General features: G+C 39.9%; 1 protein-coding gene across 25 annotated transcripts in view; it reads right to left on the bottom strand.

Moving 5' to 3' along the window:
* RPS6KB1 (ribosomal protein S6 kinase B1) overlaps positions 1-18,229 on the bottom strand; it is a 57,454-nt gene that overhangs the window by 7,691 nt on the left and 31,534 nt on the right. For 6 of the 25 annotated variants that reach the window (NM_001272044.2, NM_003161.4, NM_001272060.2 and 3 more), the window contains 9 exons: positions 16,302-16,449; positions 12,710-12,767; positions 11,162-11,262; positions 8,624-8,714; positions 8,360-8,450; positions 7,584-7,691; positions 6,607-6,669; positions 6,343-6,420; positions 1,941-2,048 (listed from right to left, as the gene is read on the bottom strand). In NM_001272044.2, coding sequence (NP_001258973.1) covers positions 1,941-2,048; positions 6,343-6,420; positions 6,607-6,669; positions 7,584-7,691; positions 8,360-8,450; positions 8,624-8,714; positions 11,162-11,262; positions 12,710-12,767; positions 16,302-16,449 — 846 coding nt within the window. Of the gene's footprint in view, positions 1-1,940; positions 2,049-5,109; positions 5,307-6,342; positions 6,421-6,606; positions 6,670-7,583; positions 7,692-8,355; positions 8,451-8,623; positions 8,715-11,161; positions 11,263-11,831; positions 12,085-12,451; positions 12,527-12,709; positions 12,768-16,301; positions 16,450-18,229 lie in introns of those variants that run through there. The other 19 variants (NM_001369673.1, NM_001369678.1, NR_161456.1 and 16 more) reach the window with 16 other exon arrangements.

Raw genomic sequence — 18,229 nt, 5'->3', positions numbered from 1 at the left:
CTCAGCCTCCCAAGTAGTTGGTACCACAGGTGCATGCCACCACACCTGGCTAATTTTTGTACTTTTAGTAGAGATGGGGTTTCACCATGTTAGCCAGGCTGGTCTTGAACTCCTGACCTCAAGGTTATAGCCATAAGCCACCATGCCCCAACTCCATGCTAACTTTAGAGCTTATTTCCCATCCCATAAGATACAACACTACTTGTATTACATAGTGAGCAATGTGGGGAAGAAAAGCTTAAGAATTAAGTTAGTGACAAATCCAGTGAACTCAAAAACAGGGAAAAAACACTCCCAAACAATTATTTTCCCCATATTCTATTCTCCCTAGAGTAGTCCAAAAACAAATGACAAAAGAAAAAAAAAGGATACAAAATGAGATAGATGTTCATGTGACATATTAAGTACAGTAATAAAATCAACAAGCATATGTGCTATTTGAGCAAAATAGTATGCATTCATGGTCTTCTGATATAAATCCATCATTTCTGTTGGCCAACATCAAAAACCTTTACTTTTCTGAGGAGACAAGCTATAAATCTATACAGACATTTCTACAATGAGAATTCACTATTACATATGAACCAATATGTTTTGATGTCAAATATTCACAATTAATGTTAAAAAAATCCCCTACTTGGCCTGGCACGGTGGCTCATGCCTGTATTCCCAACACTTTGGGAGGCCAAGGCGGGTGGATCACGAGGTCAAGAAATCGAGACCATCGACTGGGCGTGGTGGCTTACGCCTGTAATCCCAGCACTTTGGGAGGCCAAGGCGGGCGGATCATGAGGTCAGGAGATCAAAACTATCCTGGCTAACACGATGAAACCCCGTCTCTACTACAAATACAAAAAATTAGCCTGGCGTGGTGGCGGGCACCTGTAGTCCCAGCTACTCAGGAGGCTGAGGCAGGAGGATGGTGTGAACCCGGGAGGTGGAGCTTGCAGTGAGCTGAGATTGCGCCACTGCACTCCAACCTGGGCGACAGAGCGAGACTCCTTCTCAAAAAAAAAAAAAAAAAGAAATCGAGACCATCCTGGCCAACATGGTGAAACCCTGTCTCTACTAAAAATACAAAAATTAACTGGGCGTGGTGGCGCACGCCTATAGTCCCAGCTACTCGGGAGGCTGAGGCAGGAGAATCACTCGAACCCAGGAGGCAGAAGTTGCAGTGAGCTGAGATCGCGCCACTGCACTCCAACCTGGTGACAGAGCAAGACTCCGTCTCAAAAAAAAAAAAAAAAATCCCCTACTTATGTTAAGAGTACCAAAAATAGGGCCAGGAACGATGGCTCATGCCTATAATTTTGGCACTTTGGGAAGCCAAGGCAGGAAGATAGCTTGAGTCCAGGAGTAAAATAGTGAGACTCTGTCTCTACAAAAAAATAAAAAATTAGCTGCATGTGGCACACACCTGTGGTACAGGTACTCACAAGGCTGAAATGGGTGGATCACTTGAGCCTGGGAGGTCAAGGCTGCAGTGAACTGTGATCACACCACTACACTACACCCAGCCTAGGCTACAAGGTGAGACCCTGTCTCAAAAAAAAAAAAAAAAAAAGTACCAAAAATCTATAGCTGTTTCAGGAATAAAATACATGTAGTCAGTGAGGTTTTTCTCCCCGACTGCTATGACTAATTTTTGGTTGAGATGCTAAGCCAAACATCATTTTAAGTCTGTGGCCTAAAAAAAAAAGGGAATCATACTTTCCAAAGATTTGTACATTCCCACTCTAATTGCTAAAATAAAATGTTGGATTATGAAAATAAATTTTGTAGGCATCAATAAGTTATAAAGGCATGGCTTATTTAAAAAAAAAAAAAAAAGTGGGCCAGGTTACCTACATGAACTGCAAAGCAAGCAAACTGAATTTTCTTTGAAGAGCCCATCCTCACACTAAAATTTCCCATGACTACATGGAAATTCTTTCACTTACCAGAAAGACCTGATTGGCACTTTCACTGAGAGTTGAGTCATCTGGGCTGTCGACAGGTGTCTGACGTGTAAACTTGGAATCAAACTGACTTACATCCTCTTCAGATTGCTTTATACAAACAAAATAATTTAGAAAATAATAAATAGTCCATGTTACATCAATCAAATGCACTGTAAGCTCTGGGAGCTCTTTTCACGGGGGTTAACTATAATAAAGTATTAGAATAGTCTTAGCAGGCACAGAATGAAGAAAAAAATGTAGGTGGAAAGTACTGAGTCAAATTACATCTTCAAATCTTAAACATGCACTAAAATAGATTTTAGTATACAGTTATTCCTATTAAAAATGTGAATATATCGACTGGGCATGGTGGCTCACGTCTGTAATCCCAGCACCTTGGGAGGCTGAGGCAGGCGGATCATGAGGTCAGGAGTTTGAGACCAGCCTGGCCAAAATAGTGAAACCCCATCTCTACTAAAAATACAAAAAATTAGCCAGGCATGGTGGCGTGTGCCTGTAATCCTAGCTACTCAGGAGGATGAGGCAGGAGAATTGCTTGAACCCGGGAGGCACAGGTTGCAGCAAGCAGAGATCGTGCCACTGCACACCAGCCCAGATGACAGTGCGAGAGTCTGTCTCAATAAAAAAAAAAAAAAAAAAAAAAAAAAGTGAATATATCGAGCTCAAAACAAGCTGGAAAAAATGTTAATATCAATTTCCCCTCTCACAAAGCTTCAGTGTGCCTAGTCCACTGGCTAAATCCCTGTTTAGAGATAATTAGTTCAGTTGGCTACTGCAGGTTTGTAATAAACCTGAAAAACTACTGAAGCAGAGTTAAAACATGAATAACACTGGTAAGATGCTCCAGTTAAAGTTTCTTCCCACAGCTTATTTCATTCCTTTAGAAATCTAAAGGAACAAAAATAATTTTCTATTCTGCATGGTTTATAAGTTATATTTCCTTGTGAAAGTATAGTTATCACTTCAGTTCTAACCATGAGATTTATTTATTTAATTCCTTCTCTCTTTCCCAAAATATCTGGTTAGACTCTTGGGCCAAATGTAGGAAGTAAATAATAATTTAGAATATCTGACTTAATACTAAAAGATGACCACATTGACCTTATAATTCTCTTAGAGCCCAGACTGTGAACCTGCACTCCCTGGAGGAATGGCTGATTCCAAGTGTGGGGAAAATGTACAAGATAAGCATAGAACACCAGTTTCCTTATTTTGCTCTCTCGTACAACACCAGACCATGTGGTCATGTCAAAAGGACTCAGAAACCAACATGAAGATGCACCCAGCATTCACTGCACCAGCATTCAACGAAGGGAAAAATTGAGCATCAATAAAAATAACTGCTAGGTGCAGTGGCTCATGCCTATCATCCCAACACTTTGGGAGGCAGAGGCAGGTGGATTGCTTTTGAGCTCAGGAGTTGAAGACCAGCCTGGTGAACACGGCAAAACCCCGTCTCTACCAGAAACACAAAAATTAGCTGGGCATGGTGGTGTACCTGTGGTCCCAGCTACTCAAGAGGGTGAGGTGGGAGGATTGCTGGAGGCCGGGAAGTCAAGGCTGCAGTAGACAGAGATTATACCACTGCACTACAGCTTGGGTGACAGAGTAAGACCCTGCCTCAAAACAATAAATGAATAAATAAAAATAAAATAAAAATAACTGCGATGAAATGAAACACAAATGTGTTAAAACATATAAGTTCATAATATACTAAAAAAGAAAAAAACACACACACACAAAGTTCATTGGTCAATTCTGGAAGATGCTAGGGAACTAATTCATTATTTTGAAAACTAGGAAAGAATCAAACATACATCCTGCCTTTACTGTATGAACTATACCTTGGGTAACTAACTGATCAAAGAGTTTCTCTTTATGAAAGAATTCCAGCTAACAAAGAAAGAAGAAATAACAGTTAGAATAAGACCATTTCACAAACACCTGATGAAATTATAAAAGTAGGCCAGAGTTTCTCAACCTCAGTGCTACTGACATTTTAGGCCTATTAACGCTTAGCTGTAGGGGGCTGTGCTGTGCTGACTCTTACTCCTGAAGGTACCTATAGCATTCCCTCCCCCAACCTGTGACAATCAGTGTATCTCCAGACATTGCCAAATTACCCTGGTAGTGAAATGCTGACATAGGCAATGATCAGTGACCACTAACATCACTTAAACACACACACACACACACACACACACACACACACACACACACACAAACTACACATTATGCCTCCTGATCAAAGCATGCAATACTGAGAGTTTAATCTGAATTAGATCAACCACCTAAATTTAACTACCAGTTTTTGGAAATTCAGAGAACAGATGAACATGGTCAATGAAACTATGGGGATAACATCAGCAAAATCAAAATTTGAGAATTCTACAGGACAAATGACCCAGTTTCTTCAATAAATCACAAGGGGAATCTATAAATGAAAAGAGACCTAAGAGACATAGTAACCAAACTATATACAGACCTTGATTAAATCCTTACAAACAGGAGAAAAAAAAAATGGAAAAACAACAACAACAAAAAAAATTAGGTGGGGCAACACAGGGAGACCTCATCTCTAGAAAAAATTTAAAAATTAGCTGGATGTGGTGATGCATCCCTGTGGCCCCAGCTATACGGGAGGAGCCCTTGAGCCTGGGAGGTTGAGGCTGCCATGAGCCACTATCATGCCACTGCACTCCAGCCTGGGCAACAGAGAAAGACCCTATCCCCCCCCCAAAAAAAAAAAAAAGAAAGAAAAGAAAAAGGAAAAAAAAAAAAAAACAACTAAGGAAACTGTCAACTTCTGAGGTGTGATGATGGGATGGCAGTTATGTTTAAACAAGATGACCTAATCATTTTTTAAGCTGGGCAGTAGGTATATGACAGTTAACTTCCTTACAATTGTTTGTTGTTTTTTAAAGTGGGGACATTATGCTCCATGACCAAAAAATAATCACCATCATCATCCTCCTCCTTCTCCAACTACATCCTAAGGAATGGAAAAAGAAACTGTATTTTCTCAGATTCTGAGGTGGGAGAAGGACAATAACTAACACACTAACTGATTTACTCACAAACATATTGTTATGGGTTGAATCGTGTGCCTTACCCACCCCCAAAAAATTTCGTACATTGAAATTCTAACCTCTAGTTCCTCAGAATGTGACCTTATTTGGAAAGGGTTATTGCAGATGTAATTAGTGAAGATGAGGTCCTACTGGAGTAGAGAGGAACCCTAATCCAATATGCCTGGTATCCTTATAAAAAGGGGAAATTTGGCCACAGATATGCACACAGGTAGAACACCATGTGAACATGAAGGCAGAGATCCGGGTGATGCACCTACAAGCCAAAGAATGACAAAGATTACCAGCAAACCACCAGAAGCCAGGGGAGAGGCATGGAACATACAGTTTCTCACAGTAGTCAAAGAAACCAACTCTAACAATGTGATCTAGAACTTCTAGTCTCCAGATCTATGAGATAATAAATTTCTGTTGTCTAAGCCACCCGGTTTGTGGTACTTTGTTGCAGCAAGCCTAGCAAACGAATGCACACATATTCTATACTTTGAAGAAAAAATTCCCAGAGAATCATATTTAAAATGGTTAAATTAAGCAAAATAAAACAAACCAAAAAAAGGAAAGTCCCAACTACCTGAAATATTTGTCTTAGGTAACTGACTTAAAAATAGCTAATACAGTCAATTGCCACTGGGTTTAGTTCTTTACAAGATAGTACAAAAATAAAAGATGCTTGGCTGGGTGCAGAAGCTCACACCTGTAATCCCAGCACTTTGAGAGGCTGAGGTGGGTGGATCACTTGAGCCCAGGAGTTCAAGACCAGTCTGGGTGACATGGCAAAACCCTATTTCTATAAAAAATACAAAAAAATTAGCTAGGCATGGTGACACGTGTCTGTAGTCGTAGCTATTTGGGAAGCTGAGGTGGGAGAATCACCTGAGCCTGGGGAGGTCAAGGCTGCATTGAACTGTGATCGTGCTGCTGCACTCCATCCTGGGTGACAGAGTGAGACCCCATCTCAAAATAAAATAAAATAAAGATGCTGGAGAGGATAGACCAGAGATCTTTGAACTGCTAATAAAAATAATGTTTCTGTCTGCTCTGAGATTTTTCTTATTCTAAAAAAATATCAAGCGATCCTCCTGCCTCAGCCTTGCAAGTAGCTGGGACTTACAGGCACAAGCCGCCACACCCAGCTAACTTTTAAATGTTTTGTAGATATGGAGTCTTGTTATGTTGCCCATGCTGGTCTTGAACTCCTGGCCTCAAACAATCCTCCCACCTTGGCCCTTTAAAGTTTGGGGATTACAGGCGTGAGCCACTGCACCCAATTATACACTTTCATGTATACTTACCAACAGAGGTTTAAAGGGGGGCTCCACCTTTCGAGCCAGAAGTTCTTCCCAGTTAATGTGTCTAAAGAATGGATGAGCCTAGGAAAAAAAAAGCAGGAAGAAAAGTTGAGGGGACTAGACTTTGCTGGATTGATAAATTAATCACCTTTTTGAAGTTACAAGTCACAAAATAAGCTAAACTTATAAGCAACTACATATAACCCTCAGAAATACATAAAACTAGCATTATCTTCCCCACAAAACACCAAAGATGCCAATCCCTACTTGAACTTCTCCAGCGTCCCCAGGACCAGCTCCCAGACGAGAAGCAGCATTTCTTTTCAGCAGCTTTAAAGAGGAAAAAAAGCTTGGATAAAGAACCTTAGTCAAACTGATTTTTTTTTTTCCTTTTTAGACTGTGCTTGTCTACTTTGGCTTGAGAAAATATAGTTTATTGGCCAGGCACAGTGGCTCATGCCTGTAATCCCAGCACTTTGGGAGGCTGAGGCAGGTGGATCACCTGAGGTTGGGAGTTCGAGGTTGGCCAACATGGTGAAACCCCTTCTCTACTAAAAATACAAAAATTAGCCTGGCGTGGTGGTGAACACCTGTAATCCCAGCTACTAGGGAGACTGAGGCAGGAGAATCACTTGAACCTGGGAGGTGGAGGTTGCAGTGAGAGCCAAGATCATGCCATTGCACTCCAGCCTGGACGACAGAGCAAGACTCCATCTCAGAAAAAAAAGAAAAGAAAAGAAAAGAAAATATAGTTTACTAATTACTACTTAATATTGTTTAAGGGTCTGTAATCCCAGCACTTAGCACTTTGGGAGGCCAGGGCAGGTGGATCACCTGAGGTCAGGAGTTCCAGACCAGACTGACCAACACGGTGAAACCCTGTCTCTACTAAAAATACAAAAATTAGCCGGGCGTGGTGGCGGGTGCCTGTAATCCCAGCTACTTGAGAGGCTGAGGCGGAAGAATCGCTTGAACCTGGGAGACTGAGGTTGCAGTGAGCCAAGATCGCACCACTGCACTCTAGCCTGGGTGACAGGGCAAGACCCTGTCTCAAAAAAAAAAAATTTAAAAAAAGAATATGAAAAGAAAGTCTTTAAACAAATCTGTACTTCGCCTTCAAAAATTGAAGACTTTTTTGTTCAATATTTATATATGACTCTTTATTCAAAATATACATTAAATTCTATCTAGTTAAATCCTAGTCATTGAATCTTGTAGTGTCAGTGACCATTTAAGAACCTTACCTTTTTAAGCAGATCTCTGGCTTCTTGTGTGAGGTAGGGAGGCAAATTGAGTTTACATTTGAGGATTTTGTCAATTGTTTTCTTTCTATTCTCCCCAGTGAATGGGGGCTAAGAGTAGAAGACAAGTGAAAAATATTAGCAGGGAGAGAAAAATATTAGCATATAAGAAACAAATTTTGAATAATATTATCCATTTCCTAAATTAGTTATACATGGAGATCAGAAATGTATGCTGTGAAATGGGCTAACTGCTAAAGACCTTTATTTTGTTTTACAGACAGGGTCTCAACTATGTTGTCAAGGCTAGATTCTATTAATAATCCTTAGCTCAAATGATCCTCCCACCTCAGCCTCCTGAGTAGCTTAGGCTACAGGCATGCACCACTGTGGCCGGCAGACGTGCAGTTTTTAAGCAACAGGACAGAGGAAGTAGCAGTGTCCTGGAAGGAAGCCTGTGTTTCCACCATTAACTTTCTGTGTGATAAGTGAGCTATGTGATTTTATGCTTCAATTTCTCCATTTATAAAATAAGGGCATTATCTATTCAACATCTATTTCACAGGCCTGCCATGACATAGATCATTTAAAAGAAAATGTTTCGGAAAGTATGGGATCCCATATAATCATACAGCATTATTAGTGTTAAACTGCTAATAACAAATCTTTGGGCTTTGAAAACTCCACTGGTAACATGTTCAGAAAGCACAGGACAGGTCTCTTGCTATAGTGACTCAGCACAGACCAATAATACATGCAGCTTTTAACTGTGCACCTACTGCTCCAGTCAGCATGTCATACATTAATGCTCCCAAACTCCACCAATCCACAGCACGATTGTGGCCACTTCTCATCAAGATTTCAGGGGCCCTACAATGAGGAAAATAATATGCTTAAAAATTCACCCATTTGCATATCATCTGAATTAGAATTTTAAAAACAATATACAGAGTCAATGAGGGTACAGAAAACAGATACTATTCCTTAAAACAGGTAAAATTAGCTATTACCCCCAAACCAATTATGTTTAACATGTAGCTCACATGTATTCTATTGTTCCACAAAATGTGTGTGTGACTGTTCCATCATGAATAGATTCTTTGCATAGTCCAAAGTCTGTTAGTTTCACATGACCTACAATGAAAGATTACAGCATGATTATTCTCCGAATTATAAGTATGTGCAGTGTTTGAACATGTCACATAATACTTTAATCTATCCTTCCATTTAACTTTTCTTGCCTCAAATTTTCTTGCAGATGTCAAGAACAAGGTACCATCCATAAAATGGGATGCTAACTGTTTAAGGCTAGGGCAAAGTCACCTTTTGCCAATGATACAATCTATCTAGTAAAGAGAAAATAAAGATAGAGAAAAAAGTGAAATAACCTGTTTAAGGCTCTAGCTTTAAGTATATACAAAATTCTCTACCATCCTGAAAAAGAAAAATCCTGGGAAAACTGTTTTATGAAGTCTAGTTTACGTACACAGACCCCAATAAACATACTCTGTACCTTTTGAACAAAGGTGTGAGACAGTACTTCAAATATATAGCTTTTATCACAGTGAACTGTGAAGAGTCCTTAAAATGGTCTCAGAAACTCATTATAACAAGGTAGCTCATTCTGCCCAATGCTACCAATTAGGGGAAAGAAAGAAAATTGCTAGATAGTATGAATCAATCATCACTGATCCAGAAAGTAAAAAACTTACCACCTTACACAAAGATCATTTCAGTTCAAGTTTAGCTTTCTTTACTGGACTGTCATAACAAGTGGTTCAACAATCTCAGGGACTCTAGTATTTGAGGTTCATTTCACAGAAAAGGCACAATGACCTATTGATTCAAATGTAAATATATACTACACTCTGATACAGAAGAAGTATGGCCTTTATTTTCACAGAACCATCTGATACACTCAACCTTATAAATCAAAGAAGTTAACTATTCTATCGCTCCCCTATTCTATCCTGTGACTTATAATTCAGATCAGAATCCACGTTTTGGGGAGTGAGGAGGTGTTGATGAGAGGAAGGAAGAGACACTGATTCCCATGATATATTCAGTTAAGTATATCATTTCTCCTTAAAAAAAAAAAAAAGGTGGGTGGAGGAGTATAATCTGGAATGTTTATATGAGCCTCAGTTGTTCATACATCATTTTCTAAGAGTTTGAAACAATTAACTACCTCATGGATTATTCTGTAGACATCTAAGGATTAGCAGCTGCTACCACCTTCTAGATACCCTGGGTCAGCTGGTTGCTCCTTTGGGGTACGAGTGAATTGCCAAGTCTACCTACAGCCCAGATTAGCATAAATTGAGCTGTCTTTAGCAGCATGCAGTTGTAGTCAAGGCTCACTGTGCTATATCTATAGTTGTATAGATTATCAGTCTCTCTGATGTTTATGTTTGTTGTTACAAACAAACAGCAAGAATAAACTGATTCTGGCTGGGGGGAAGGTGGGTTATGCCTGTAATCCCAGCAATTTGGGAGGCCAAGGCAGGCAGATCAATTGAGCTCAGGAGTTTGAGACCACCCTGGGCAACATGATGAAACCCCATTTCTACAAAAAATACCAAAAATTAGTCAGGCGTGGTGGTGTGCCACAGTGGCCCCAGCTACTTGAGGGGCCGGGGTGGAAGGATCACTTGAGCCTGGGAGGCGGAGGTTGCAGTGAGCTGTAATCATGCCACCATACTCTAGCCTGGATGACAGAGTGAGACCCCCATCTCAAAAAAAAAAAAAAAAAAGTAACCTGATGCCTACTAAACATCATATTTCCAAAGTTTTATCAAATACTTTGGTTCAATTTCAATCCTTTTCCCAGCATTAATAAAACCTACTGTAAGAAGCATAGCTTCTAATATTCACATATTTTCTTTTTTTTTGAGACGGAGTCTCGCTCTTTTCACTCAGGCTGGAGTATAATGTCGCGATCTTGGCTCACTGCAACTTTCGCCTCCTGGGTTCAGGCGATTCTCCCACCTCAGCCTCCTGAGTAGCTGGGATTACAGGCACCCACCATCATGCCCAGCTAATTTTTTTTTTTTTTTGTATTTTTGTAGAGATGGGGTTTCACCATGTTGGCCAGGCGTCTTGAACTCCTGACCTCAGGTGATCCACCCACCTTAGCCTCCCAAAGTGCTGGGATTACAGGTGTCAGCCACTGTGCCCAGCCAATATTTACATATTTTCATTATTAAAACTCAACTTATATAATTGAGATTCACTTTTCAATTTAAGTAACAAGCCAAAATTAATGTTTAGACTGGCTTTTACAGTCTAAAACATTATACAACATTTGATGTAAAGATTCCAAAAACATGAAAAACTATAAAGAGTAAGGATTAAACTAAAAAAGGCAGTTGAGCGACTATTATCCTCAACTTCTTTTACTCTCACCAAGCGTAATTACCTAAAGACTTAAAATATCAGCAAGTACTATGATGCCATGAATTCTGAGGGAGGAAATATACAAAATAGAGAGATGAATTTGGGGCTTTGAAAATGGCCACGACCTATGTGGGAGGATTTTAAGATGATTATTTACTATAGAATTGTTTACGGTATGTCTCCACCTTGGTGATTAAGCATGATATTCTCCGGCTTCAGGTCTCTGTAGATGATCCCCTTTTGATGTAAATGCCCCAAAGCCATGGAGATTTCTGCCAAGTAAAAGCTGGAAACAAAAGTGATTTAATAAAATTAAAAAGAGTGTAATCTATCCAAAGCAGTTTACGTATGGAGCAAAATTCCTTGAAAGAAACAGACATGCACCAAAGACCAAATTAGTGGGGTAGGGGGATGTATTGGAAAAAGAGATGGCATAGGATGCTGCCAAAAGGCATGGGGACATTTATGTTTCACTCATTTTAGTGAAACTATAAAGTGCTTTATTTTGCCATTAGAATATATTGCTAAAATTGCAAAGATGTCCAGAATATGCTAAACTGCCATTGGTCATGTTTTGTTCTGTCTGTGTAGGAATTAAGCTAATAGCCATTCATTTCAAGCAAATTTCTCCCATCCACACCCAACTTTAAAATCCCATAGGAAATAGGAACTTTGTTATTCTCAGAGATCACATCTTGATTTCAAAAGGTATCTTATAACCTGACCCTTAGAAGCCCACTCATCCCTTACTTAATACAGCTACATATTTATAGACAGCTGAGGCCCACAGTATCTGCCCTCCCACCTGCCAGCCAGCCCACAACTATAAACTGTGTGACACCCAAATTTATCTACCTCAAAAGAATAAAGGGCTGAATCAACCCTGTCTGGATTCGAAAAGCACAAGGCACTGCAATACTGGCTGCATAACAATGTTGCAATCCTGCAGATTACTCCAGGATGGAGAGGGTGTGTCCTAGAGGACTGAGGCAGTTTCACAGCCAGCACGACCACAAACACAGCCTCCAACACGGCTCAGTGAGCCTCCTCCAAAAAAGGGCACTTCATCCCTAAGGCTCTTAAATGCAGCTTCTTTGTTAGAAAAGGCCTGAAATTAAACAATGGAATGCAGTTTTGGTAATCAAGGTAGAAAAAAACATTTAAGTGTTGTTTTCTATTAAATTAATGTGTAGGATAAACTGATTTATTGTGACCCAATATTGTTGCTTCACAAAAGGATGTGCATATTTTTAATTTGAAGCAGATGACATGTTTAGAAATAGGAGGGTAAATCCCACCCTGACTACATAATCAATCTACAGATGATATGCCCAGGTTTATCACCTCCCTAAGACTGTACCTTGAGAAATAGAAAGCCTAAAAAAAAAGGGATGATTTCTGATAATTTCCATTGTTCCACACATAAAGGTTCACTGGGAAACCACACTCACCCACAGCCAAGGCAGGCAGCTTACCAATTCAAGGAAAGAAAGCCGCAATGAGAATGGTTCTGTTAGGAACAACTGGTGTGAAGAGCGTTCCACTCAAGCCTAAGGGCAAAGGAATGATGTGACCTCCATAGCTGCCCAGTCCCAAAACTGCTTCTCCCCCTTGAGGTCCTGAGTGAGTGACTGGCTCCAGCTCAATTTACTGAATCATGTGGCTGCCCATAGTGGGAATGGGGCTTTGCTTGTAATTACCTGAATCTATGCAACCACAAAAAGTTCACTTACCAGGCAGTGTCTTCCATAAATATTCCCTCTCTTTCTAACTGCATAAATAGTTCTCCTCCTGTAAAGAAAAAGAAAAAACATTATAAATAAAACAATATTTATTTCCAACCCACTTCTAATGAGAGAGTTTGTGCTTTCCTTCTAACCATAATTAAAAGACATCAGCCCCTTAAAAATGAAAAACAGATCCTAAAAATTATAGGTTTTAAAACTAAGTCCTCAGGATTCTATTTTTAGTAGCATTCTTATTCTTCTGTGACACACATATATTTAAAAACTAGAACTGGCTTGGAATTCCAGGTTTTATATCTACAAACTTTAAAATATCTGTAGATTCCAGACCTGAGGTTAAAAAATATATATATTGATTAAAGACTCTTTAACATTTTACCCATAGGTAGAAAAATGATAGTCTACAATTAAATCACCCTCACTAATTTTAGTGAATGCTCATATTTCGTATTTTCAGAACCCTTAAATAAACAGAATAAACCTGGCACTGGCCTAGTAAAAAACATGGCACAATTTGAGTATCAAAATAAATAATGATAATAAAAGGTTATATCACATTGAATGATATTAGGATCCCTAAGTCCACAATGACATAAATAAATGAATACATAAATGTTTTAAAGGGGGAAGAAGAGAAAGTTCTTTATTACAGTAGAATCCCAAGTAATAAATGAAGAAGACGTGACGGAATAAGAAAAAGTACTTGGCAAACATCACAATTAATTGTTGCAGGCAAGATTCAATGGATGTCAAAACTGAATGTGGGCTGGGCGCAGTGGCTTACGCCTGTAATCCCTACACTTTGGGAGGCCGAGGCGGACAGATCACCTGAGGTCAGGGGTGATCTCTATTAAAAATAAAAAAATTAGCTGGGTGTGGTGGTGCATGCCTGTAATCCCAGCTACCTGGGAGGCTGAGGCAGGAAAATCACTTGAACCTGGGAGGTGGAGGTTGCAGTGAGCTGAGATCGTGCCACTGCACTCCAGCCCGGGCAACAGAGTGAGATTCCGTCTCAAAAAAAAAAAAAACAACAAAACTGAACATGAGAGCTTGATGAAAGATATTTAAATAATCTCAAAGTATCTCCTCAAAAGATACTTATTAATTACAAAGACAAAAACGTCACCATGGAAAAAATCAGCAGACACCACCTTATACATGTGACCAAAGTTAACATCACAAGTAATGGGACAAAGATATAAATATCATGTACCTCTTGATCTGATGCATTAAGGAGGACACAATGTCACTTCAATGGTCCTGCCAAAATTGCATAACCTGAATCTAATACTAAGGAAACATCAGCTAAACCCAAAGCATTCTACAAACTAACTGGCCTGTCCTAATCAAAAATGTCAACATTATGAAAGTCAAAGAAAGACTGAGGAAATGTTCCAGATTAAAGGAAACTAAGAAGAGTTATAATTGCATCAATGTTAATTTCCTATTTCTGATCATTTTAGTATAGTTATGTAAGATACTGTCCTTGATTTTAGAAAATATACACTGAATAGGCTGGGTGCAATGGCTCACACCTGTAATCCCAGCACTTTGGGAGGCCAAGGTGGGCGGATCACCTGAGGTCAGGAATTCGAGACCAGCCTGGCCAACATGGTGAAACCCCATTTCTACTAAAAATACAAAAATTAGCTGGGCGTGGTGGTGGGTGCCTGTAATCCCAGCTACTCGAGAGGCAGAGGTTGTAGTGAGCCCAAGATTGCACCACTGCACTCCAGTCTGGGCGACAGAGTGAGACTCCATCTCAAAAAAAAAAGAAAAGAAAAGAAAGAAAACATACACTGAAATTTTAGGGGTAAAGGGAAATCATGTCTGTAACACTCTCTTAAACAGTTCAAAACAATTATGTATGCATGCATGTATATATGTATACACATATATACATATACATAGGATAAAACAAAATAAATGTGGTGAAATGGTAACATCTGGGGAATCTAGGTGAGAAATATATAGGAATTCTTTTATTTTGTGTGTGTGTGTGTGTGAGACTGAGTCTTGCTCTGTTGCCCAGGTTGCAGTGTACTGGCGCGATCTCAGCTCACCACAACCTCCGTCTCCCAGGTTCAAGCGATTCTCCTGCCTCAGCCTCCCGAGTAGCTGGGATTACAGGAGCACACCACCATACCCAGCTAATTTTTCTATTTTTAGTAGAGACAGGGTTTCACTATGTTGGCCAGACTGGTCTCAAACTCCTGACCTCATGATCCGCCCACCTTGGCCTCCCAAAGTGCTGGGATTACAGGCATGAGCCACTGAGCCTGGCATAGGAATTCTTTATACTACTCTTAAAACTTTTTGTGTTAAGTATGAAATTATGTCAAAATAAAGTTTTTCCGGGCGGGCACAGTGGCTCACACTTGTAATCCCAGCACTTTGGGAGGCCAAGGTGGGCAGATCACCTGAGGTCAGGAGTTCAAGACCAGCCTGGCCAACATGGTGAAAGCCCAGCTCTACTAAAAATACAAAAAAAAGCCAAGTGTGGTGGCGCATGCCTGTAGTCCCAGCTAATTAGGAGGCTGAGGCAGGACAATCGCTTGAACCTGGGAGGCGGAAGTTGCAGTGAGCCGATATCACGCCTCTGCACTCCAGCCTGGGAGAGAAGAGCGAAACTCCATCTTCAAAAAAAAAAAAAAAGTTTTTCCAATGGCAATAGTCACAAAACAGTTGCTACATTCTGTAGCTTTCTGTTCCATGTTACACGTTACTGCAAAATCCTTCTCAGAGAACTGAACTGTGTTTGCTAGAAATAGATACTTGTGGCCGGGTGCAGTGGCTGACACCTGTAATCCCAGCATTTTGGGAGGCCGAGTTAGGTGGATCACCTGAAGTCGGGAGTTCGAGACCAGCCTGACCAACATGGTGAAACCCCATCTTTACTAAAAATACAAAAATTAGCCAGGCGTGGTGGCACATGCCTGTAATCCCAGCTACTCGGGAGGCTGAGGCAGGAGAATCGCTTGAACTCCAGGAGGCAGAGGTTGCAGTGACCCAAGATCACACCATTGCACTACAGCCTGTGCGACCAGTGTGAAACTCCATCTCAAAAAAAAAAATAAATAGACACCTGTGATCTAGAAATGATATGGAATCAACAAGTTCCTACGAGGTGGTAGGCCCTGGCAAATATGGATGATTTCCATTATAAGCTACATACCCCATCACTAAGGCTACATTAAACTAAAAACTCTTGTTTAAAGACCCAATTCCAAAAATAGTCAGTATGTTAAATAATCTTCCCAATTATTTAAATTACAGTATCTTACCCCACTACAATTTGATGGCTCTGCATCACTTAGGTATTCGTTTTTCTGTTAAGTGAGTGATTACAAAGGAATTAAAATAAAATTTTACAGATGAGGGAAAAAAATCTTTAGTTTCCTCCATATTTGTCTGCCAATAGAAACATTTGGTCACATCTGAATTTTGTACTTCAGTGTACTCATCAATTTTAAGCACTATTTGATCATAATGGGAAAAAGTATTCTTCCATTGAAAAATAACATTTTGACCCAGTTTCTGGAGCAAATGCAAATAATTACACCAAACTCTGTGTACTGACCACTGAGATACTCAAGGATGAGGTAGAGTTTTCCACCAGTCTGAAAGGCATAAATTAAATCCACGATGAAGGGATGCTTTACTTCCTCCAGAATATTCCGTTCTGCTTTTGTATGAGCTGTATCTTTAGCATTTCTTACTATCATTGCCTAAAGGAAAAGAGATCATCTATAAGAACAAAATAGTGAACATTTTTATTCTATAATCTATTTTATTCTAAAATCTATTTTGTGTTTTTCCTGCCAATATTGAACTATTAACCATAGTTCCCACTAGAAACTGAGATGGGGTAATGGAAAACATTCACTTTATATATGCCTCTGTGCAGTTTGGATTTTTTGCAGTGAACACGTAAGTGAATTACCTAAAGAGACTTTTTAAAAAAGAAATCTGTAATCAGATCAAGTTTATTCATATATTCACAAACTATTGAGTGTCTACCATCCTCCAGGCTGTGCCAAGAAAGCAGAATAGAAGGAATGCCCTGTCCATAGGAGTCTAAAAGTCGACAGGAGCCCAAAGTCTCAGGGAAAAAAAGACAAGTCAATGTAGGCAAGTGCAGGATGGTAAGGGTAAACAGGGGAACCACATCTGACCTAGCAGAAAGTCTCGCTTGAAAGTTATTAAAATGAAATGTGGCCTGGACGTGGTGGCTCATGTCTGTAATCCCAGCACTTAGGTGGGCAGAGGCAGGAGGATCGCTTGAGCCCAGGAGTTCGAGATCTGCCTGGTAACAAGCGTGACCCCATTCTCCACAAAAAGGGTAAAAAAAAGACAAAAAAGAAAGAAAGAAATGTAGAAGGTAAAAAAAAGGCATTCCAGTGCAAAAGAGGACAGAATACGTCTGGGAAATCTACAAGTAGTTTGGTATGGTTAGAAGTGGTTAGAGATTAGGCTAGAGAAGTAGGCAAAGGCCAGGAAATGGAACGTCTGGGCAAAGGAAGGTCTGGGTGAAATGAACACACCTTTGGCTTTATGAAAGACACATCTAGTAGCAGTAGGGAGTATTAGGAAAGAAATGAGACTAGTTAGGAGGCTAGTATAATAAACCAACTAAGAAGATCTATAAGAAAATGAAGATAGAAAAAAATGAAAGGCTAATACATAATTTGCATTTGCTGACAAACTAGTTATGAGAAGAAATGATGATACCTTTATTTCTGCATAAGTAATAGGACAGATAATGGTGCCATTCAATATTGGCAAAAGAAAGTGAAAAAGTTTTGGGAAAATGATGCCCTGTTTTAGACATGCCAGGTATAAGTTCCAGGAAGTTACCCTGATGGTACATCTCCATAAGTAATATGGAAAGCAAATACACAGGTAATTGGTTGCAACATTATCTGTGAAAGTGGAACACTAGAAACAGCCTAAATGCTCAGACATAGGATATTGGCCCAAAACCTATGGAATCTACACAACATGTAACAAAGCTATAAAAATAAGAAAAATCAGCCGGGCGCAGTGGCTCACGCCTGTAATCCCAGCACTTTGGGAGGCCGAGGAGGGCGGATAATGAGGTTAGGAGATCAAGACCATCCTGGCTAACACGGTGAAACGCCATCTCTACTAAAAATACAAAAAAAAATTAGTCGGGCATGGTGGCAGGTGCCTGTAGTCCAAGCTACTTGGGAGGCTGAGGCGGGAGAATGGCATGAACCTGGGAGGCGGAGCTTGCAGTGAGCCGAGATCACGCCACTGCACTCCAGCCTGGGTGACAAAGTGAGACTCCGTCTCAAAAAAATAAATAAATAAATAAATAAATAAATAAAATAAAAATAAGAAAAATTTCTATAAAAACAAGATACAAAAGAGTACTTAAAAGTACAGCAGCATGGATACTATGCTATCTTTTGTACAAGAAAGGGGAAATGAGAATATATATAATATGTATCTGCTTATGCCTGCAAAAATGAAGACAACTAAGAT

Source organism: Homo sapiens, chromosome 17 (genome assembly GCF_000001405.40).
Source record: "Homo sapiens chromosome 17, GRCh38.p14 Primary Assembly".
Classification (NCBI taxonomy): Eukaryota; Metazoa; Chordata; class Mammalia; order Primates; family Hominidae; genus Homo; species Homo sapiens.
The sequence above is the reverse complement of the archived record's forward strand: the minus strand, read 5'-3'. Positions and strand labels throughout refer to the sequence as shown.